We start from the raw sequence: 20,201 nt of genomic DNA, 5'->3' as shown, positions 1-20,201 counted from the left end.
GTGTCCCAGAGATTCTGGTACATTGTGTCTTTGTTCTCATTGGTTTCAAAGAACATCTTTACTCTGCCTTCATTTCGTCATTTACCCAGTAGTCATTCAGGAGCAAGTTGTTCAGTTTCCATGTAGTTGTGAGGTTTTGAGTGAGTTTCTTAATCCTGAGTTCTAATTTGATTGCACTGTGGTCTGAGAGACCGTTTGTTGTGATTTCTGTTCTTTTCCATTGGCTGAGGAGTGCTTTACTTCCAATTATGTGGTCAATTGTAGAATAAGTGCGACGTGCTGAGAAGAATGTATATTCTGTTGATTTGGGGTGGAGAGTTCTGTAGATGTCTATTAGGTCTGCTTGGTGCAGAGCTGAGTTCAGGTCCTGGATATCCTTGTTAACCTTCTGTCTTGCTGATCTGTCTAATATTGACAGTGGGGTGTTAAAGTCTCCCATTATTCTGTGGGAGTCTAAGTCTCTTTGTAGGTCTCTATGGACTTGCTTCATGAATCTGGGTGCTCCTGTATTGGGTGCATATATATTTAGGATAGTTAGCTCTTCTTGTTGAATTGATCCCTTTACCATTATGTAATGACCTTCTTTGTCTCTTTTGATCTTTGTTGGTTTAAAGTCTGTTTTATCAGAGACTAGGATTGCAACGCCTGACTTTTTTTGTTTTCCATTTGCTTGGTAGATCTTCCCTTTATTTTGAGCCTATGTGCATCTTTGCATATGAGATGGGTCTCCTGAATACAGCACACTGATGGATCTTGACTCTTTATCCAATTTGTCAGTCTGTGTCTTTTAATTGGGGCATTTAGCCCATTTACATTTAAGGTTAATATTATGTGTGAATTTGTTCCTGTCATTATGATGTTTGCTGGTAATTTTCCCCATTAATTGATGCAGTTTCTTCATAACGTCGATGGTCTTTACAATTTGGCGTGTTTTTGCAGTGGCTGGTACTGGTTGTTTCTTTCCATGTTTAGTGCTTCCTTCAGGAGCTCTTGTAGGGCAGGCCTGGTGGTGACAAAACCTCTCAGCATTTGCTTGTCTGTAAAGGATTTTATTTCTCCTTCACTTATGAAGCTTAGTTTGGCTGGATATGAAATTCTGGGTTGAAAATTCTTTTCTTTAAGAATGTTGAATATTGGTCCCCACTCTCTTCTGGCTTGTAGGGTTTCTGCTGAGAGATCTGCTGTTAGTCTGATGGGCTTCCCTTTGTGGGTAACTCAGCCTTTCTCTCTGGCTGCCCTTAACACTTTTTCCTTCATTTCAACCTTGGTGAATCTGACCATTATGTGTCTTGGGCTGCTCTTCTCAAGGAGTATCTTTGTGGTGTCCTCTGTATTTCCTGAATTTGAGTGTTGGCCTGCCTTGCTAGGTTGGGGAAGTTCTCCTGGATAATATCCTGCAAAGTGTTTTCCAACTTGGTTCCATCTCCCCATCAGTTTCACATACAACAATCAAACGTAGATTTGGTCTTTTCACATAGTCCCATATTTCTTGGAGGCTTTGTTTGTTCATCTTCATTCTTGTCTCTCTAAACTTCTCTTCTCGCTTTATTTCATTAACTTGATCTTCAATCACTGATACCCTTTCTTCCAGTTGATCAAATTGGCTATTGAAGCTTGTGCATGTGTCATGAAGTTCTCATGCCATGGTTTTCAGCTCCATCAGGTCATTTCAGGTCTTCTCTACACTGTTTATGCTAGTTAGCCAGTCATCTAATCTTCTTCCTTGCGATGGGTTTGAACATCCTCCTTTAGCTTGGAGAAGTTTGTTATTACCGACCTTCTGAAGCCTACTTCTGTCAACTCGTCAAAGTCATTCTCCATCCTGCTTTGTTCCATTGCTGGCGAGGAGCTATGATCCTTTGGAGGAGAAGAGGCGCTCTGATTTTTAGAATTTTCGGTTTTTCTTCTCTGGTTTCTCCCCATCTTTGTGATTTTTATCTACCTTTGGTCTCTGATGTTGGTGTCCTACAGAGGGGGTTTTGTGTAGATGAACTTTTTGTTGATGTTGATGCTATTCCTTTCTCTTTGTTAGTTTTCCTTCTGACAGTCAGGTCCCTCAGCTGCAGGTCTGTTGGAGTTTGCTGGAGTTCCACTCCAGACTCCGTTTGCCTGGGTATCACCAGTGGAGGCTACAGAACAGCAAATATTGCAGAACAGCAAATATTGCTGCCTGATCCTTCCTTTGGAAGCTTTGTCCCAGAGGGGCAGCCGCCTATATGAGGTGTCTGTTGGCCCCTGCTGGGAGGTGTCTCCCAGTTAGGGTACACAAGATTCAGGGACCCACTTGAGGAGGCAGTCTGTCCATTCTCAGAGCTCAAATGCTGTGCTGGGAGAACCACTGCTCTCTTCAGAGCTGTCAGACAGGGACATTTAAGTCTGCAGAAGTTGTCTGCTGCCTTTTGTTCTGGTATGCCTTGCCCACAGAGGTGGAGTCTAGAGGCAGAAGGCCTTGTTGACCTGTGATGGGCTGCACCCAGTTTGAGCTTCCTGGCTGCTTTGTTTACCTACTCAAGCCTCAGCAATGGTGGACGCCCCTCCCCCAGCCAGGCTACCACCTCACAGATCCAACTCAGACTGCTGTGCTAGCAGTGAGCAAGACTCCATGGGTGTGGGACCCACCGAGCCAGGCATGGGAGAGAATCACCTTGGGAAAAGCACAGTATTTGGGCAGGAGTGCCCCGTTTTTCCAGGTAGTCTGTCACAGCTTCTCTTGGTTAGGAAAGGGAAATCCCCTGACTCCTTGCACTTCCTGGGTGAGGTGATGCTCTGCCCTGCTTCAGCTCGCTCACTGTGGGCTGCATCCACTGTCCAACCAGTCCCAGTGAGATGAACCAGGTACCTCAGTTGGAAATGCAGAAATCACCCGTCTTCTGCGTCGATCACTCTGGGAGCTGCAGACTGGAGCTGTTCCTATTGACCATCTTGGAATGCCCCTTCTCTTTTTTTTCTTTGAGTCAGAGTCTTGCTCTGTTGCCCAGGCTGGAGTGTAGTGGTGCAATCTCGGCTCACTGCAACCTTGGCCTCCCAGTTTCAAGCGATTCTCCTGCTTCAGCCTCCTGAGTAGCTGGGATTACAGATGTGTGGCTGTAATCCCAGCAATTTGGGAGGCCAAGGTGAGTGGATCACTTGAGGTAAGGAGTTCAAGACCAGCCTGGCCAATATGGTGAAACCCTGTCTCTACTTAAAAATACAGAAATCTGATGGTTTTATAAGGGGGTTTTCCCCTTTTTGCTTGGCACTTCTTCCTGCTGCCATGTGAAGAAGGATGTATTTGTTTCCCCTTCTGCCATGACTATAAGTTTCCTGAGGCCTCCCCAGCCATGTGGAACTGTGAGTCAATTAGACCTCTTTCCTTTATAAATTATCCAGTCTTGGGTAAGACCAATTAAACCTCTTTCCTTTATAAATTACTCAGTCTCAGGTAGTCCTTTCACAGTGTGTGAAAGGACTAATACAGGCATTATAATACAGGGATTATAATAAAAGTCATTATAATCCTTAGTAAATGTGTGTATGTGTATGTGTGCATATGTGGTATGTGTGTATCATATTTTGGTGTTCGGTTTTCACATATAATTAAAAAAAATTCAGGTATAAACAGAATACATAACACCATTATTTTAGTTTGATACTATAATCAAAGTTCCTACAGAAAAAACAAAACAGAAAGGTATATAAACTGCTAAAAATGAATTGGCCTGGCAGCTAGCATAATTTTATATTTTATTAATAAGGGGGAAATGTTAAACTTTTCGTAAGATGAAGTTTAAAATAAACACTTTAACATATAATACACACCAAATCTGAAAAGTAATTAAATAGAAGTTTATCTGTGAGTTTTACTAAATCTAAAACAATTTGGAGTCCCAGAAAACATTCCACTTACATTTAGAAGATCTGAATCACTAACCCATACTGTTTTGGCTAATGGAAGGTGCTTTTCTTTGGATAATGGAAGCTGATTTTTCCCCCAGCTAATAACATGTCTTAGGAATGAGCATTGAGAATAGCTTTAAAAGAAGTGCTTACATTTAAGTACATGAAAAAGAACCATTTTTTAGTGTTCAATATTTCCCACAGATGCTTTTTACCTTGCTCTCAACAGATTTGTCCTTGTAAATAATGAATTCTTTAATAATAGGAGAATAGAAGAGGTAAAGTCATTAAACAAAAATTATCATTTCTCCCACTTTATTTCATTTTTATTTTTATTATCATTAACCACACTTTATTGTATACCTGAATTTAGAACATCCAGACAGGGATCCAAATTTCTTTGGTTTTTGCCCAAACGGCAAATTTCTCTTTAATGCCCAGCTTCATCCTTATCAGGAAAGTGTACATAAAAGAGAAGGAATGATGGGAAGCCCTAGGACCTTACATAGTCTTGAGTAGTCATGAAAGGAAAACGCCACCATTTTTTTTTTTTTTTTGGCACCTAGTAATTTTTCACTGAGGGTGAAGCAATGATTCATTTTTGGTAAAGTTGAAAAAAAGGGCTATTGGTGAACACATTGTATACTCAGGTAAATCTTATTTAAGAGAGGATATAAATGGAATTTGGGAATCTGGAAATTGATTTTCTGACAATTGTAGGAATTCTTTTACCCCTTGGGAAATCATTCTGTAATGCCAGGGCTGTGAGTACCCCACTTTGATCATCACTGTACAGATCATTGCTCTAACTTGTGGACCTTGGGGTCCACATGCTAGAGCAGTGAGAGGGAACAAAAGAACACTTAGGAGCACTGAGGTGATAAGTGCTCAGTGATAGCACTAACACACAAGTTGTGAATGATACCAGAATACCAGCTGAGTTTGAAAACTTAGAGTTGCTTTTTTCCACATTTGTTAGAATAACCAAATATTCCCTTTCAGCACTTTTGCTGATTTCTGAAATTGTGACTCTCTTCATTGAAGTTACATAGGGGTAATCCCCCATCAATATAGGTTTTTAAAGTAGCTGGAAGGGTACAAGGGTCACTAACCGGATTAATTAAATCAAACAATGAAGCTTTCTCAGGGTGAAAAATACTGCATTATACTCTTTCTCATGTGACTACTTCAACTTTTGTTGATCACATTAGCATTTGTGAAGATAGGAGGCAAAACAACTTGCAGGTTGCTTTTCTAGCAGCTAAAGAAAGCCTACAGGATTTTTGCAATTGAAATTAAGACCTATTGGTTAGGAATCATTAAGATTGTAAAAATTTGAGCCTGAAAGCTGATGATGCAACATCCCTGAGTAGGAAAGACTGAGTTGATATTACCATTAATATGTGTTTCTGAAAAGCCAGAGTGGAAATAATTTCATATGTCAGAAATCACAGGCATTTTATCAGCCTCCCAGACTTACAAATACCCACTTGCTATTGCCAGTCAGGTCCAGTGTGTTTAGTTTGCAAATTAACACTTCCCTCCTGTGCAAAGTTTTATGAGAAGGTTAACAAAACATTTGAAGGAGCTGTGAAAAGGAAGTTACATGCAGCACAAACCAGGCAACCAAGAGCTTTTGGTGGTCATCACTGAAGATGGAAACTGTGGCAGATGGAAGTCTCTGCTTCTTGAAGAGAAACTATGCATTGAGTATGCATGATCTGTGTGCCTGGATATCATCTTTACCTGCTTTGTTCTGTATGTTGTCAAAGAGGATCGCTTTGGGGAGCATTGTGTCTGTACACTCTGGATGAACCCCTTTGAAGCAGGAGGTAGGATGGAATACTTGTGCTTTTGTTTAAAACATGCCTGGGGCCTATATTGACAATTTTGTTAGGTTCTTTATTAAAAATGTATTTGAATAAACCATAATTAATTTATACCAGAAGAGCAAAACAGCAGACATTGTGCCTTTTTTCACAGATTATGGCTGAATGGATTCTAACCAGTAAATCTGTACATTTGAATTTTATTTCCTGGATCTTTTCTCATTAAGTCCAATGGAGTGATGAGCTTGGGATGGAGGCTTTATAGAGGTATCTTTTAATATACTTTTGATAAAGCACTAAGAAAATTTATAATAATTTTAATTGATAATGCGGAAGCAGAGGAGCAGAACAGAAGATAGTTTCTCAGTGTTTAGAGACCTTGAATTTATTGTTTCCTTTGCAAAGTCTATTAGTCACCCCTGACAAGAAGCCTGCAATTTCAGGTGTTTGCAGTTTCCTGACCCTTCATAGCTACTCTCTGTGGGATCTTTATCTGGCCTGGCTGCTGAGACTGTGGCTGTTTTATATTCATTATTTGATTAAAGACTCAACAACTTTATTAAGGAGGTATCGCTCTAGCTTTGCAGCTGGGAGTTTCAGAGAGGGAAGTGCTCTGCCCATGGGCCACAGCTGTAGTCACTGTTGAAGCTGAGATTGACCCAGATCTACTAGGCTCTGCAGGACACACCCTTTCCACTGTATTATTCTCACCCCAACCATCAAATCAAAGGGGCGGAGCAAACAGAGACAAAAGGTTCTCAGGAGCTAGCTAACAGTTTGTGTCAAACAAGGTGAGAGCGGACAAGTCTCCTCCAGGAATATTCCCCCACTCTCTACTGAGCAGCAAACCTCAATTAGTTCCTGTAGTCTTGGCTTGTAGAAAAGGGTTGAACTCTAAATTAGGCTTCACTGTCCTAGCTCTATGCCTTCTACTTATCCTTTAGAGCTTAGCCTAGATTTGATTCCTTCAAGAAAACCTTCTGTGACATTCCTCTAAAATGGATTTCCAGATCATAACACCTACCAAATCATGTTTATCTGTGGCAAGCATTAGACTGCGAGATTTGTTAGTACTTTGTTTACTGTTTTTTTGTTACCTAGCGAAAATGTCTAGAGCTCAAATATTTGTTGAGTAAAGGAAGAATATCACTAGCAGCCTGAGTGACTTGGGGAAGCTAGATATCTCTAGGTATCACTTTCCCCTGGCGAAAAATGAGTTTTTTGTAAATGATCTCTAAGATCATTTCAGATATAGTATTTTATGACACTAGCTGCAAGCTATGCATCCTGCTAGAAGATACCTGACCTTATTGACCTAAATTCCAGGAACTTCTTTATGCTTATTGCCGCAGGGGAAAGAAAGGACTCTTTTTTCCATTGTTTCTCAGGCCCCAAAATATGTGCTCAATATATATCGAGTGAATGGATGGATATTTAGTTCCAAAACCAACATACAAATACAACAAATCTCCATCAGCATTATCATGTGGTTTTTTAAGGGCACAATTCTAAATCTGGCTCTGAGACAAAGTCAACATGCTCCATAGCTGCCTTCATTTAAAGTTATTTAGTTAGAGGGAGTGGGAAAAGGCTCAGTTCCACATTGAGACATAGAAATGTACACCTTTAGTCATTTTTAATATTCTATTGACATTTCACAGCTAAGGATATCTGAGATCCTTGGAAGTGGAGTGATTTTTCCAGCATCCCACTGGCAGAGAGTGGCAGAGCTGGAACTAGGTCCCAGGTCTTCTGACCCCAAGTCTAATGCATTTTAACCCCCTATGTTGCTTCCAATAAGTCAATAATCTTTGCTCACCAAGACCAGCATCCTGAAAATCCATATCACTGATCACACAAGAATGATTTACTGCAAAGCTGTTACTTGAGATAATGGCAGATACATACCCTGCTCCTTAACACCATTACAATGATGATGTTGAGATGAGGGCATGACTTACAGTCCATAGAACACCTTTGTTCGATACTATTGAAATTTCCACTGAGAATCAGGAATTTCCTGCCTGTCCTTGCCTCATTCAAGAGGATCACTAAACGATTGTGTTGTACCAATCAGTGTATCTATGTGTTTTCTCTCCAGACTGTCAGGTTCCTCAGGGCAGTGACCGTGAGTATCCTTTCTGACAATCCATACCTATCACAGTAACTATCACACTGCGACACTCACCCATAGATGCTGAATAAATGAAAGGGCTTAGAAACTGAGGTGACCTGTCTAGATTGAGTTAGCAGTGACAGAAGTTAAATAAACATTTTGTTATTGAAACAAAATAAAACCTTAGATGACTCTGCTAGTGACAGGCCACCTAGAAATGGCAGTTTCCTTCGCTGTTACAGGCTTCCTCCAGGCTTGCTGAATTTGACTCCCCAAGACAACAGTTTTATAGGCTGCAATTCTGTGGATCCAGTCTTTCCTGCTCTGTCAGTTGTCAAGCTGCTTCCCTTTTAATTCAGCATAACAAACTATTTTAATAATGCATTCCTTGTAGAATGAGGTCTTCTTAGATCTAGTTCTGATGGTCATTTGGAAGCACGATGTGCTTATAGTCTTCGAATTTTACTATTGAGGAAAAACTAAATCTGAATATTTCTCTATCATTCTGATAAATTTTCATCATGGACCCTCATGTGAATAGTACAATTTAGCCAATGGCCTCTTATAGATAATAGACGAATATATCAGAATTAAACGGCGCAGAGTCCATGCATCTTTTAAAATCATCAAATACAAAATCCTCCTGGCCACATAAATATAAATGAAAGCTTGATTGTATCACAGTCTGCAGGCGTATGGTGCTTGTGATGATAGCCAGCATAAGCTATCGATTATTAAAGACAGACATGAATTTTTCCAGCAGTGTCTCCAGAGTTTGTACTCTTTAGTTTTCTCTTGTTGGCCACATTTTGTAAAATCCACATTCTTCCTTGCCTCTCCTCTATGCAGGAGGGAGGGAATCTTTCTCCAGGGGCCAGAACAGTGTCTTGGATATCAACCCAAGGACTAGTATGAGAAAAATGCGTTCTCTTCTCACACTCACATGTGATGGTGCTGTGTCCTCAGCAAAGCAAGACCACAGAGGCCCTTGGTAGGGGGTCCTGGGATGCTATCGTAGGAGCCTGCATCCCTGTACTAATTCTGATATATATTCTGACTATAGGTGGCTTTCCTTTGTTTTTTGTCCAAGAAAGCCCCTAACTTTTTCAGGATTCCTTGTTATTTCTCACCAAAGCCAACACAAACTTTATAGGAGGGAGAATCCTCAAGCAGAGTAGAAGAAATTGGGGACTCTCAGAGGTGTATAACAGGTGGCACAGGCAGAAAGAATGGCTTAGAATGTCTTTCTTCCCTACAGTCTCAGGAAGGGACACATTCTGTGCAACGGTGAATCCAGGATTTCTACATATTAACTTGAACCACGTGAAATTGAGGACAGTCAACTGTGCTTGACATATAAAAAGGGTTATTTAATATGGTTCAACCTAGTAGAAGGGGCTTAGGAATAGAAGCTAGTCAGAGGTGGGGACCTGGGAGACTTGTAATTGGGCTTGCAAAAAACAAAAACAAAAAAAGAAAGAAAAATCACGTGACTTTACTTGCATTTTTACATTGTACTTGTATGTGGATTACTTGAGGGAAGTACAAACTGAAATTGTTGGGGGTGGAGGTGGAGCAAAAACCCTGTCTGTAGACACTCCTTGACATCACCTCTTCTGGGCTTGCTGAGAAAAGGCAAGCCAGGCAAGTGAGGAAAGTAAGGAATGACCCTGATATAAGCATCAAAAATTAACACCAGTTTAGATTACTTTTATATACACAGTCTGTTTTCTTCCTTTTTCTTTTTGGCTCTTTATTTTATTTGCCAGTGACCTGAAGAAGATGGGAAGAGAGAATTCACCAAGAATTAGAAAATGCCCCCAAAATATATCAGCTATAGAGTCAAAATTCAGTGAAGCTGAATCAGGCATATGAATCATAAGCTGTGATTTTACTTGTGTAAGCACTTACAGGAGTACTTTTTTCAGTATAAGAAGATGTATTTTGAAAATCAAAGAAAATGTACTTTAAGCACTCAATACAAGAGTATGTCTATTCCATGTAGTGCAAGAATCCTATCCAAACAGATGGTACCTGCATGGCACGAATAAGATTCTTTGACCACTCACGAGACTTTCTCTAGCCACTCTCTGTTTCTGGGGCTCAACGTATGTGTGTGTGTGTGTGTGTGTGTGTGTGTGTATGTGTATGATTTAGATTATAAGAAAGTTTATTGGTATAAAAACCTTTTTGCGGCTGGGGGTGGTAGCTCACGCCTTTAATCCCAGCACTTTGGGAGGCCGAGGCAGGTGGATCACGAGGTCAGGAGATCGAGACCATCCTGGCTAACATGGTGAAACCCTGTCTCTACTAAAAATACAAAAAAAAAATTTAGCTGGGTGCGGTGGTGGGCACCTGTACTCCCAGCTACTTGGGAGGCTGAGGCAGGAGAATAGCGTGAACCCGGGGGGCGGAGGTTGCAGTAAGCAGAGATCGCACCACTGCACTCCAGCCTGAGCAACAGAGCGAGACTCTCCATCTCAAAAACAAAACACCAAAAAAAAAAAAAAAAAAAATCAAAAAACAAAACAAAACCAAAAAACACCTCTTTGCAATCCCCTTTCTTTATCCCACTCCCCAAATATTCCTGCTTCTAAGTTTCAGTCTTGGATGTCAACCTGAGCTGTAGTTCCTTAGTGGAAAGAAAAGATGTTCTCCCCTCACACTGCTATGTGCTGTGTCTGCAGCACAACAAAACCACCCAAGGCCCTCAGTGGGGGTGGTCCTGGGATATTTAAGCCGTTTATCTACAATTTAAATCCTCTGTGAAATGTAAATACTCCTAGCGAGGGTGATAGATTGCCTTTTTCATTTCTATTTGCTTTTTTATGTCCTAATGTTTTTCGAGGTTTTTAATTTTTGTTTTGTTTCTCTTTTTGCTATGTCATCTCCCACTACCTCATTTCAGTCTCTCATCACCTTTGTCTTGGACTTCTGCAACCATCTCCTGATGGTGTTTCTGCTTCTAGGAGGGCCAAGGTGATATCTAGCATTTGAAGCTGGCCAGTTACTGTTCAAAAACCCTTTCTCCACAGTCAGGTCATCATTACATTCATCACCCTGCCTCACCACCTATGTAAGGGTCCAGTCTCTTGTACTGGCCTTTCACACTTGTAATTTGCCATAGACTGCATGGCACTTCACACCTCTTCCCTCGGCTCAGGCTGTCCCTTCTGCCCAGAATGACTTTAATCAGGCCCACACAGTATTTGATATAGTCCCACCAATGGTGAATTGAGCTTCCATGCATTCATTCATTTACTTATTCTTTCTTTCTCTGCTGTGTTTTAATGGATAGAAGGTCAAACCCCAGGGGATATTGGCCTTACTTCTACTTCAGGATAAATACTGACTTTCAACAAGTGGAATTTTGGACTGTGGGCAGAAAAGGAGTAAGGCATTTTGTCTTGGATTAATTGTCTAATATTCCTTAGAGATGGGTTCTTACCTTGGGGCCTATGGACTCTGTATGCCAATATGTTTCATTTTAGGAAGAAAGTCTGTAGCTTTATTTAGATTATCAAAGGAGTCCAAGACCCTAAAGATATTAAGAACATTACCTTAGAGAAAAGTATGTGTGTGTGAAAGTATATTCAAAACACTCTTTTTTTATTCTCAGAAAATTTTCTTCCATTTTTGATCATTTCTCATCACATACTATTTGCAATAAATTGTTTTTCTTTTGTGCATTTCCATTTATGACTCAAAAAATCTTTGCTGATATTTAAAGCCATTCTTTATTTTTTCAATGAAACCATGTTAGTAAAAACAGATCTTTGACAGTCCATAGAAAACATTTAAGCCTCAGCTTCAAAGTTTTTGAAACATGTCAGACTATAGAAATGATTACTTTTAACACAAATCTATTACTAAAGCTTAATGTCATAAAATATGAGTTGTCAACAGAAGTTAAATAAGGGTAAAACAAGAATAATAATCCCAATAGATATAAGAAAATATACAAAAGGGTTAAAATGTACACTTAAATCTGTTCTTGAAAATAAACACTTTAACAAAATAAAGCAAATAGGTATGTAGACAGACAAAAAGTCTATCAAATGCTTGGTTAAAATGCAACTATCTAATAAGGCTATGGCTCTGAGAGAAGATTTTTATTTTGAAAGATAAATGATCTTAGAGGGTGAAACTGAGAAAGTTTATGAAGATTGTATGGGCGAATTTGCAAACACTTCCCCTGATGCTTAAATACATACATCTTTGCAGTGGAAGATCAAAGCTTGAACTCTTAAAATAAAGACAAATGACAAAGATTGATTTTTTTTTATGGTAGAAAGAATAACTTAATGTAATATTCTCAAGGTTGTTTTTCTTCTTGCATGTGCCAAGTTTTTTATGACATAGTATGCCTGAAAGTTAACCAGGAAAAACGTTGCTTTGGGAAACTTAAGTAGGGATTGGGCTTCATTCTGTTTGGAGAAGGAAATAGAGGTTAGAACTAACAAAAATGAAAAGTGCAAAGTGAAGAAGGAGAAGAAAGAATTAGAAGAAAAAGAAGAAAAGAGGAAGAATAAAAAAGAACATGAGAAAAAAAGGGCTAAAAGGAGAGAGGGAGAACGAATGAATGAGTGAATGAATGAGTGAATGAATGAATGAATGAATGAGAGACTGCTATATAAGTTTGGCCTCTCAGAACCAAAGTTGGTGGGATGCAATGTCATGCTTGTGATTGCTATGTGATCCTGAAGAAACTTAAGAATTATGTCCTTTGACCCCTAACATGTCTGGGAAAGGGTAAAGAAGAACTGTATGGAGGCAAGATCCCAGTGGATACCACTCAGTTGAAAAATGTAGGATGATTGCCTTTCATAAGGTCTGAGCTAGGGCCAGAGTTTATGGAGCAAAGGATTTATTTCAAAGCAAAATACATGAGCCAATGTACCCATGCCATGGGATTCACTGGTCTTACTGTGTACTCTACCATCCAGAAGCAGCTGGACTAATAGCACAGTGGAACGGTCCATTTAAGACTCAGTTACAGCTCTGGCTGGGGGACAGCTCCTTGTGTGGCCCATGTGCTGTTTAAGATGTAGGTTTGCTGTGAACCAGTGACCAATACCTGGTGCTGTTTCCTTCATAGCCAGAACACAGGGTTTATGAAACAGATGTGGAAGTGAGAGTGGTATATCTCACTATCGTAACTCTTGGCTCCAGCAGCTAGAACAAAATATTAGAAACTGGGTGGCTTATCAAGAACAGAAATTTATTTCTCACAGTTCTGGGGGCTGGAAGTCTGAGATCATGGTGCCAGCATGGTCCGGTTCTGGTGAAGGCCCACTTCCAGGTTGTAAACAGCTGACTTAAAATAAATCTTCTATGGAGGTAGAAGCTTGAGCTCTCTCTATAACCAAATTACTCCAATAGCCTTTGTTTTCTCTGTCTTTGGAATCTCCTTGTTTAAGTGTGTTAGTAACCAAGAGAAAAATATTTCTGTCAATAAATGCAACAATGATGGAAGTTGAGATTGAGATGAGTTGAGAATGCCATCTAGCATTCCTCTGGAAAACAGGCAAAAATAAGAATTCCATGTTAACTAAGGTGATGGATCCTTATTATCAACGAAAAATAGGGTTACTTTTGTACAATGGAGGCAGACAGGGAGAATTCTTCATGGAACCCAGGAAATCTCAGTGATGTTTCCTAGTTTTTCCTTATTCAGTGATAAAGATAAAACTACAGTAAACGTCTACAGGCAAGATTACCAATGACTTGTATATTCTGAGTAAGATTTGGAGAATCCCACCACGTAAAGAACCTTGACCAGCTGAGGTACTGGCTGATTAGATTGGGAACATGGAATAGAGGAGAAAGAAAATTTAAAATACTGTAACTTTGTCACTAATTCAGAGATAAGTACTATCGTTCTTACTCATATTTTCTTCCTTACTGTTTCATGTATATATTTACCTATTCTAACTTTCCCTGCTTTCCTGTTGCCTTTCATACTTTATTTGCAGTGAGCAAAGTTTACAAAATAGTGCATAACTGAAAGACTGTCCAGATGGAATTGCAAAAGATGTAGAGGAAGAATAGACCTTTCAGAGCTCTTGGATTTGGGCCTGGAGGCAGTGGCAGTTAACGATTTATCTCCCTTTTACTGATGTCTTCTATAAGGGGTATATTTGGTGGCAGTATTTTGCATTGCATAGTTGCTAAATCTGTTGCTGCTTAATTGTAAGCATGGAAAAAGTATGTGTATGTGAGTGTTTGGCAGTCAAGTCCTCGAGTGGACATTTGTCATGTTATTCATAATAAGCCCCTCTCACCCATACCTGGGTTTACCTGAATCAAGTGGCTCTGGATGGGCCCCTAGATAGCTTCAGGATGGGGGCTGGTTGCTAGAGGCACCAACCATGTAATAGAGGGCTGGACCTTTCAGCCCCACCCTGCAACCTCCTGGGAGATTGAGTTAATCACCAAAGGCCAATAATTTAATTAATCATGCCTAAGTAATAGCTCCTCCATGAAAGCCCTAAACGACAAGGTTAAGAGAGCTCTGGGTTGGTGGACACGTAGATGTTGGGGTGCTCATCCTGCATTCCAAGAGGATAGAAGCTCATGAACTGAGGATCCCTCTGGACCTTGCCCAATGGACCTCTTCATCTGGCTGCTCATTTGTATCCTTTATAATATCCTTTATAAAGGATACAAATGTAATGCTTGGTAAATGTAAGCAAAGTGTTTCTGTGAATTCTGTGAACCATTATAGCAAATTATTGAACCTAACAACGGGATGTGGGAACCCCTGATTTGTAACCAAGTCATACAGAAGTGTGGGTAACCTGTGGATCAACTATTTGTGGCTGACATCTTAAGGTGGGGAGCAATCTTAAGGGACTGAGCTCTTGATGTATGGCGTCTGTGCTAAGTTGGTTTTAATGTCAGAATTGAATTACATTATAGGACACCATCTTGTGTCCACAGACAACCGGAGAATTTCTTGGTGCAGAAAACCCACACATTTGGTGTCAGAAGTTTTGTGAGTAGAGAAGCAGTTTTTTCCTTTAGCACTTCTATTATGTAATTATTTTAACTACCCAGAAGGGATGGGAGGAGAACTTGTCACAACTGAGATTATGTTACAACCGCATAAGTTCATTGTTGTCAGAATGTATCAATATTCACTAGACAAATTGGTTTATCCCCAGTACACCTGCTACTGTGATGGATCAGCTACTTACCATCACAGGAGCATTAATTCTTAGAGGACATCAGAGATCTCTTCTAAGTATTTCCTATAATATATGACTGGAGTCTTTCCTGCTCATCCTTTCCAAGACTGGAGGGAGGAATTCTGAAAATCATTAGTTCTCCTTCTTGCTTTTGTCTTTCTTTTTCTTTAATTTATTTAATTAAAAAAACCTTTATTTCCTTTCTTTTTCATCTCCTCCTACTCTTCTTGGCCTGTTGTGACCACTAATTTACTCTCTATTTTTGTGAGATCCATTTTTTTTCCCTTTTTTTAGTTCTCACATATGAGTGAGAACATGTGACATTTGTCTTTCTGTGCCTGGCTTATTTCACTTAACAGAATGACCTCTAGTTCCACCCATGTTGTCGCAAATGGCATGATTTCCTTCTTTCTGTCACCAGTTAGTATTCCACTGCATACATATACCACATTTTCTGTATCTTTTCATCCATTGCTAGACATTTAGGTCAATTCTATATCTTTGCAATTATTAATAGTGCTGCAATAAACATGTGAGTGCAGATGCCCTTTTGATATACTGATTTCTTTTTCTTTGAGTAAATATTCAGTAGTAATCACATAGTAGTTCTACTTTCAGTTTTTGGAAAAATCTCTATACAGTTTTCCACAGTGGCTGTACTAATTTAAATTCCTACCAACAGTATACAAGGATTCCCTTTTCTCTACATCCTGGCCAGCATCAATTATTTTATTTTTTAAAAATAAAAGCCATATTGCCTGGAGTGAGATGATAATATCTCATTGTGGTTTTGATTTACATTTCTCTGATGATTACTGATGTTGAACATTATTTTTCCCCATGTACCTGCTGGCCATTTGTATGCCTTCTTTCAAGAAATGTTTATTCAGGTCTTTTACCCATTTTAAAATCAGAATATTTGTGTGTGTGTGTGTGTGTGTGTGTGTGTGTGTTTGCTATTGAGTTTAAACTCCTTGTTTATTCTGGTTATTAATCTCTTGTCAGATGAATAGTTTACAAATATTTTCTCCCATTCCATGGGTTGCCTCTTTATTCTTTCCTTTGCTCTTCAGAAGCTTTTTAGCTTGATATAATCCTACTTGTCTATTTTTGCTTTGGTTGCCTGTGCTTTTGAGGTCTTTTACACACAAAAAAATCTTTGCCCAGATCAATGTCTTGCAGCAATTTCCAAATGTTTTCTTCTAGTACTTTCATAGTTTCAGGTCTTAGATATGTCCTTAATCCATTTTGATTTAATTTTTGTATATGGTGAGAGACACATGTGTAGTTTCATTCTTCTGCATATGGATATCCAGTTTTTCCAGCACCATTTATTGAAGAAACAGTACTTCCCCTAATGTACGCTTTTCGAGCCTTTGTCAAAAATGAGTTGGCTGTAAATGCATGGATTTATATTGGGTTCTCTATGCTGGCAGTGGTCTGTGTGTCTGTTTTTATGCCAGTAGCATGCTGATTTGGTTACTATAGTGTTGTAATATACTTTGAAATTAGATGTTATGATACCTCTAGCTTTGTTCTTTTTGCTCAGGATGGCTTTGGCTATTTGGGATCTTTTGTGGTTCTACATAAATGTTAGGATTTTCTTTTTTCTACTTCTGTGAAGAAATTGTATTTTGATAGGCGTTGTATTGAATCTGTGAATTGCTTTGGGTAGTATTGCCATTTTAACAGTCCAGGAGCATGGACTATCTTTCCATTTTTTGTGTCCTATTTAATTTCTTTCATAAGTGTTTCATAGCTTTTTTTTGTATAAAATCTTTCATATTTTGGCTAAATTGATTCCTAGATATTTTATTTTCTGTGTAGTTATTGTACATGGGATTGCTTTCTTGATTTCTCTTCAGACTGTTCACTATTGGCATATATAAATGCTACTGGTTTTTGTATGTTGATTTTGTATCCTGCAACTTTACTGAATTTGATTAAAAGTTATAACAATTTTTTGGATAGAGTTTTTAGATTTTTCTAAGATTATGTTTTCTATGAACAAGGCTAATTTGACTTCTTCTTTTCTACTTTGGATACCTTTTCTTTCTTTCTTTTGCCTAATTGCTCTGGCCAGGATTTCTAGTATTATGTTGAATAAAAGTGGTGAAAGTAGGCACCCTTGTCTTGTTCAGATCTTAGATAAAAGGTTTTACATTTTTCCCCATTCAGACAATGTTAGCTTTTGGTTTGTTACATATGGCTTTTATTATTTTAAGGTATGCTTTTTCTATACCCAGTTTGATGAGTATTTTTTTTTAACCATAAAAGGGTGTTAAATTTTACTGAATACTTTTTCAGTATCTATTAAAATAACCATATGGTTTTTGTTCTTGATTTTGTTAATGTGATGTATCACATTTATTGATTTTCATGTATTGAACCATCTTTGCATCCCTCGGAGGAATCCCACTTGATTGTGGTGAATAGTCTTTTTAATGTGTTTATGAATTCAACTTGCTAGTATTTTATTGAGGATTTTTTGCATCTATTTTCATCAATGATATTCTCTTGCAGTTTTCTTTTTGTGTTATGTCCTTCCTTGGTTTGGTAGAAGAGTAATGCTGGCCTCATAGAATGAGTTTAAAAGTATTCTCTCCTCTTTAATTCTTTTGAAGAGTTTGAGTACAATTGGTATTAGTTCTTCTTTAAATGTTTAGTAGAATTCAGCAGTGAAGCCATCAGGTCCTGGAGTTTTCTTCAATGGGAGACTTTTTATTACTGCTTTGATCTCATTACTCATTGTTGGTTTGTTGAGTTTTTCTATTTCTTCAAGGTTCAATCTTCAATGTATGTGTCCAGGAATTTATCCATTTATTTTCCATTTGTTGGTGTATATTTTTTCATAGTAGTCTCTTAAAATTCTTCATATTTCTGTGGTCTCAGTTGTTATGTCTCCTTTCATTTCTAATTTTGTTTAGTTGGGTCTTTTTTCCTTAGGCTAGCTACAGGTTTGTTCATTTTGTTTATCTTTTCAAAAACTCAAGTTTTTGTTTTGTTGATATTGTTTATTGTGTTTTTAGTCTCAAATTCATTTATTTCTGCTCTGGTCTTTATTATTTCTTTCCTTTTACTAATTTTTTTTCCTTGCTTTTCTAGTTCCTTGAGGTGCATTCATTGTTAGGTTGTTTATTTGGCATATTCCTACTTTTTTATAGAGATATTTGTTGCTATGAACTTTCCTGTTAGTACTGCTTTTGTTGTATCCCATATGTTTTGATGTATTTTATTTCCATTTTCATTTGTTCAAGAAAACTTTAAATTTTCTTCTCAGTTGGGCATGGTGGCTCTTTCCTGTAATCCCAGCACTTTGGGAGGCTAAGGCAGGAGGATAACTTGAGCCCAGGATTTCAAGAATAACCTGGGCAACAATGTGAGACCTTGTCTCTACTTTTTTAAAAAAAGGAAAAAAGACAAAATTTTCTTCTTAATTTCTTCATGACCCATTGTTTGTTCAGGGGAAATTAACACATGTTAATTTCCATGTGTCTGTATAGCTTCCAAGGTTCCTCTTGTTATTGATTTCTAGTGTTATTCTTTTGTGGTCAGAAAAGATACTTGATAAGATTTCTGTTTTCTTGAATTTGTTGAGACTTGTTTTGTGGGCTAAGATATGGTCTATTCTGGAAAATACTCCATGTGCTGTTGAAAAGAATGTGTATTCTGCAGCAGTTGGGTAAATGTTCTGTAAACGTCATTTAGGACTATTTGGTCTAGTGTGTAGCTTAACTCGAATATTTCTTTGTTGATCTTCTGTCTGGATGATCTGTCCATTACTGAGAGTGGGGTATTGAAGTCCCCTACCATTACTGTATTGCAGTCTCTCTCCCCCTTTAAATCTATTAATGTTTGTGTTTTACACTTGGGAGCTTTGGTGTTGGGTGCTTAGATGTTTATAATTGTTACATCCTGTTGCTAAATAGACCTTTTTATCATTATATAGTGACCTTCTTTATCTGTTTCTATGGTCTTTGATTTTCAGTCTATTTGATCTGATAAGTATAGCTATTCCTGCTCTTTTTTGGTTTCCAGTTGTATGAAATATCTTTTTCCACCTCTTCCCTTTCAGTTTATGTGCGTCTTTATAGGTGAAGTGGGTTTCTTGTAGGCAGCATGTAGTTGGCTCTTAATTTTTATCCATTCAGACACTGTCTTTTTAATTGGAGAACTGAGTTCATTTACATTCAGTGTTATTGCTGATAAGTAATGATTTACTATTGCCATTTTGTTGCTTGTTTTCTGGTTGTTTTGTAACTCCTCCTTCCTTTCTTACTCTCTTTCTGTGTGGCTAAGTGATTTTCTCTGGTAGTAAGTTCCAATTTGTTGCCTTTATTTTTAGCAAATCTATTATAGGTTTTTGCATTGTGGTTACCACAAGGCTTCCCCCAAACAACATATATGTGTGCATATATAAATGTGTATGTGTATATATAATATACATATATACATATGTGTTATTTTAAAGAGATGACAGCTTATCTTAGACCACAAAGCAAAGAACAGAAACAAATGAAAAAAAGAAAAATTCTACATTTCAAATCTATCCCCCCACAGTTTGACTATTGATTCTCATTTTATATATATTTTTCTCATTTTATATATATTTTTTGTTGCTTATCTCTTAACAGATTGCTGTAGCTATTATTATTTTTGATAGATTTGTCTTTTGGCAGCTTCATACTAGAATTATGAGTGGATTACACCTCATAATTACAGTATTTGAGTATTCTAGGTTTGTCCATGTACTTAATTTTACCAGTGGGTTTTATATCTTCAATGTGTGTGTGTGTATGTGTGTGTTTGTGTGTGTGCATATTAGTGTTTTCTTATTTCAGGTTGAAGAACTTTCTTTAGCATTTCTTGTAAGTCAAGTCTGGTGGTGGTGAATTCTCTGTTTTTGTTTGTCTAGAAAAGACTATTTCTCCTTCAGATTTGAAGAATAGCTTTGCTAAATATAGTATGCTTGGATGACAGTTTTCTTCTTTCAGCACTTTGAAAATGTCGTCCCGCTCTCTCCTGGACTGTATGGTTTCTGTTTAAAAGTCTGCCAGACAAATTGCAGCTTCTTTATATGTTATTTATGTCTTTTCTCTTGCTGCTTTTAGCATCCTCTCTTTGTCCTTGGCCTTTAAGAGTTTGATTATTAAGTACTTTGGGACGGTCTTATTTGGGTTGAATTTGTTT

The 20,201-nt window shown here is 38.2% G+C and overlaps 1 long non-coding RNA gene across 1 annotated transcript in view; it reads left to right on the top strand.

Moving 5' to 3' along the window:
- Nucleotides 1–5,475: 5,475 nt before the first annotated feature.
- The window catches only part of LOC107984625 (uncharacterized), a 98,066-nt gene continuing 83,340 nt past the window's right edge, over nucleotides 5,476–20,201 (top strand). The window contains exon 1 of the long non-coding RNA XR_001749886.2: nucleotides 5,476–5,708. This is a non-coding gene — a long non-coding RNA (uncharacterized LOC107984625). The remainder of the gene's footprint in view (nucleotides 5,709–20,201) is intronic.

The sequence above is a fragment of the Homo sapiens genome, chromosome 13, assembly GCF_000001405.40.
Source record: "Homo sapiens chromosome 13, GRCh38.p14 Primary Assembly".
In the NCBI taxonomy this organism is placed as follows: domain Eukaryota; kingdom Metazoa; phylum Chordata; class Mammalia; order Primates; family Hominidae; genus Homo; species Homo sapiens.
This window is presented reverse-complemented; position numbering and strand designations above follow the sequence as displayed.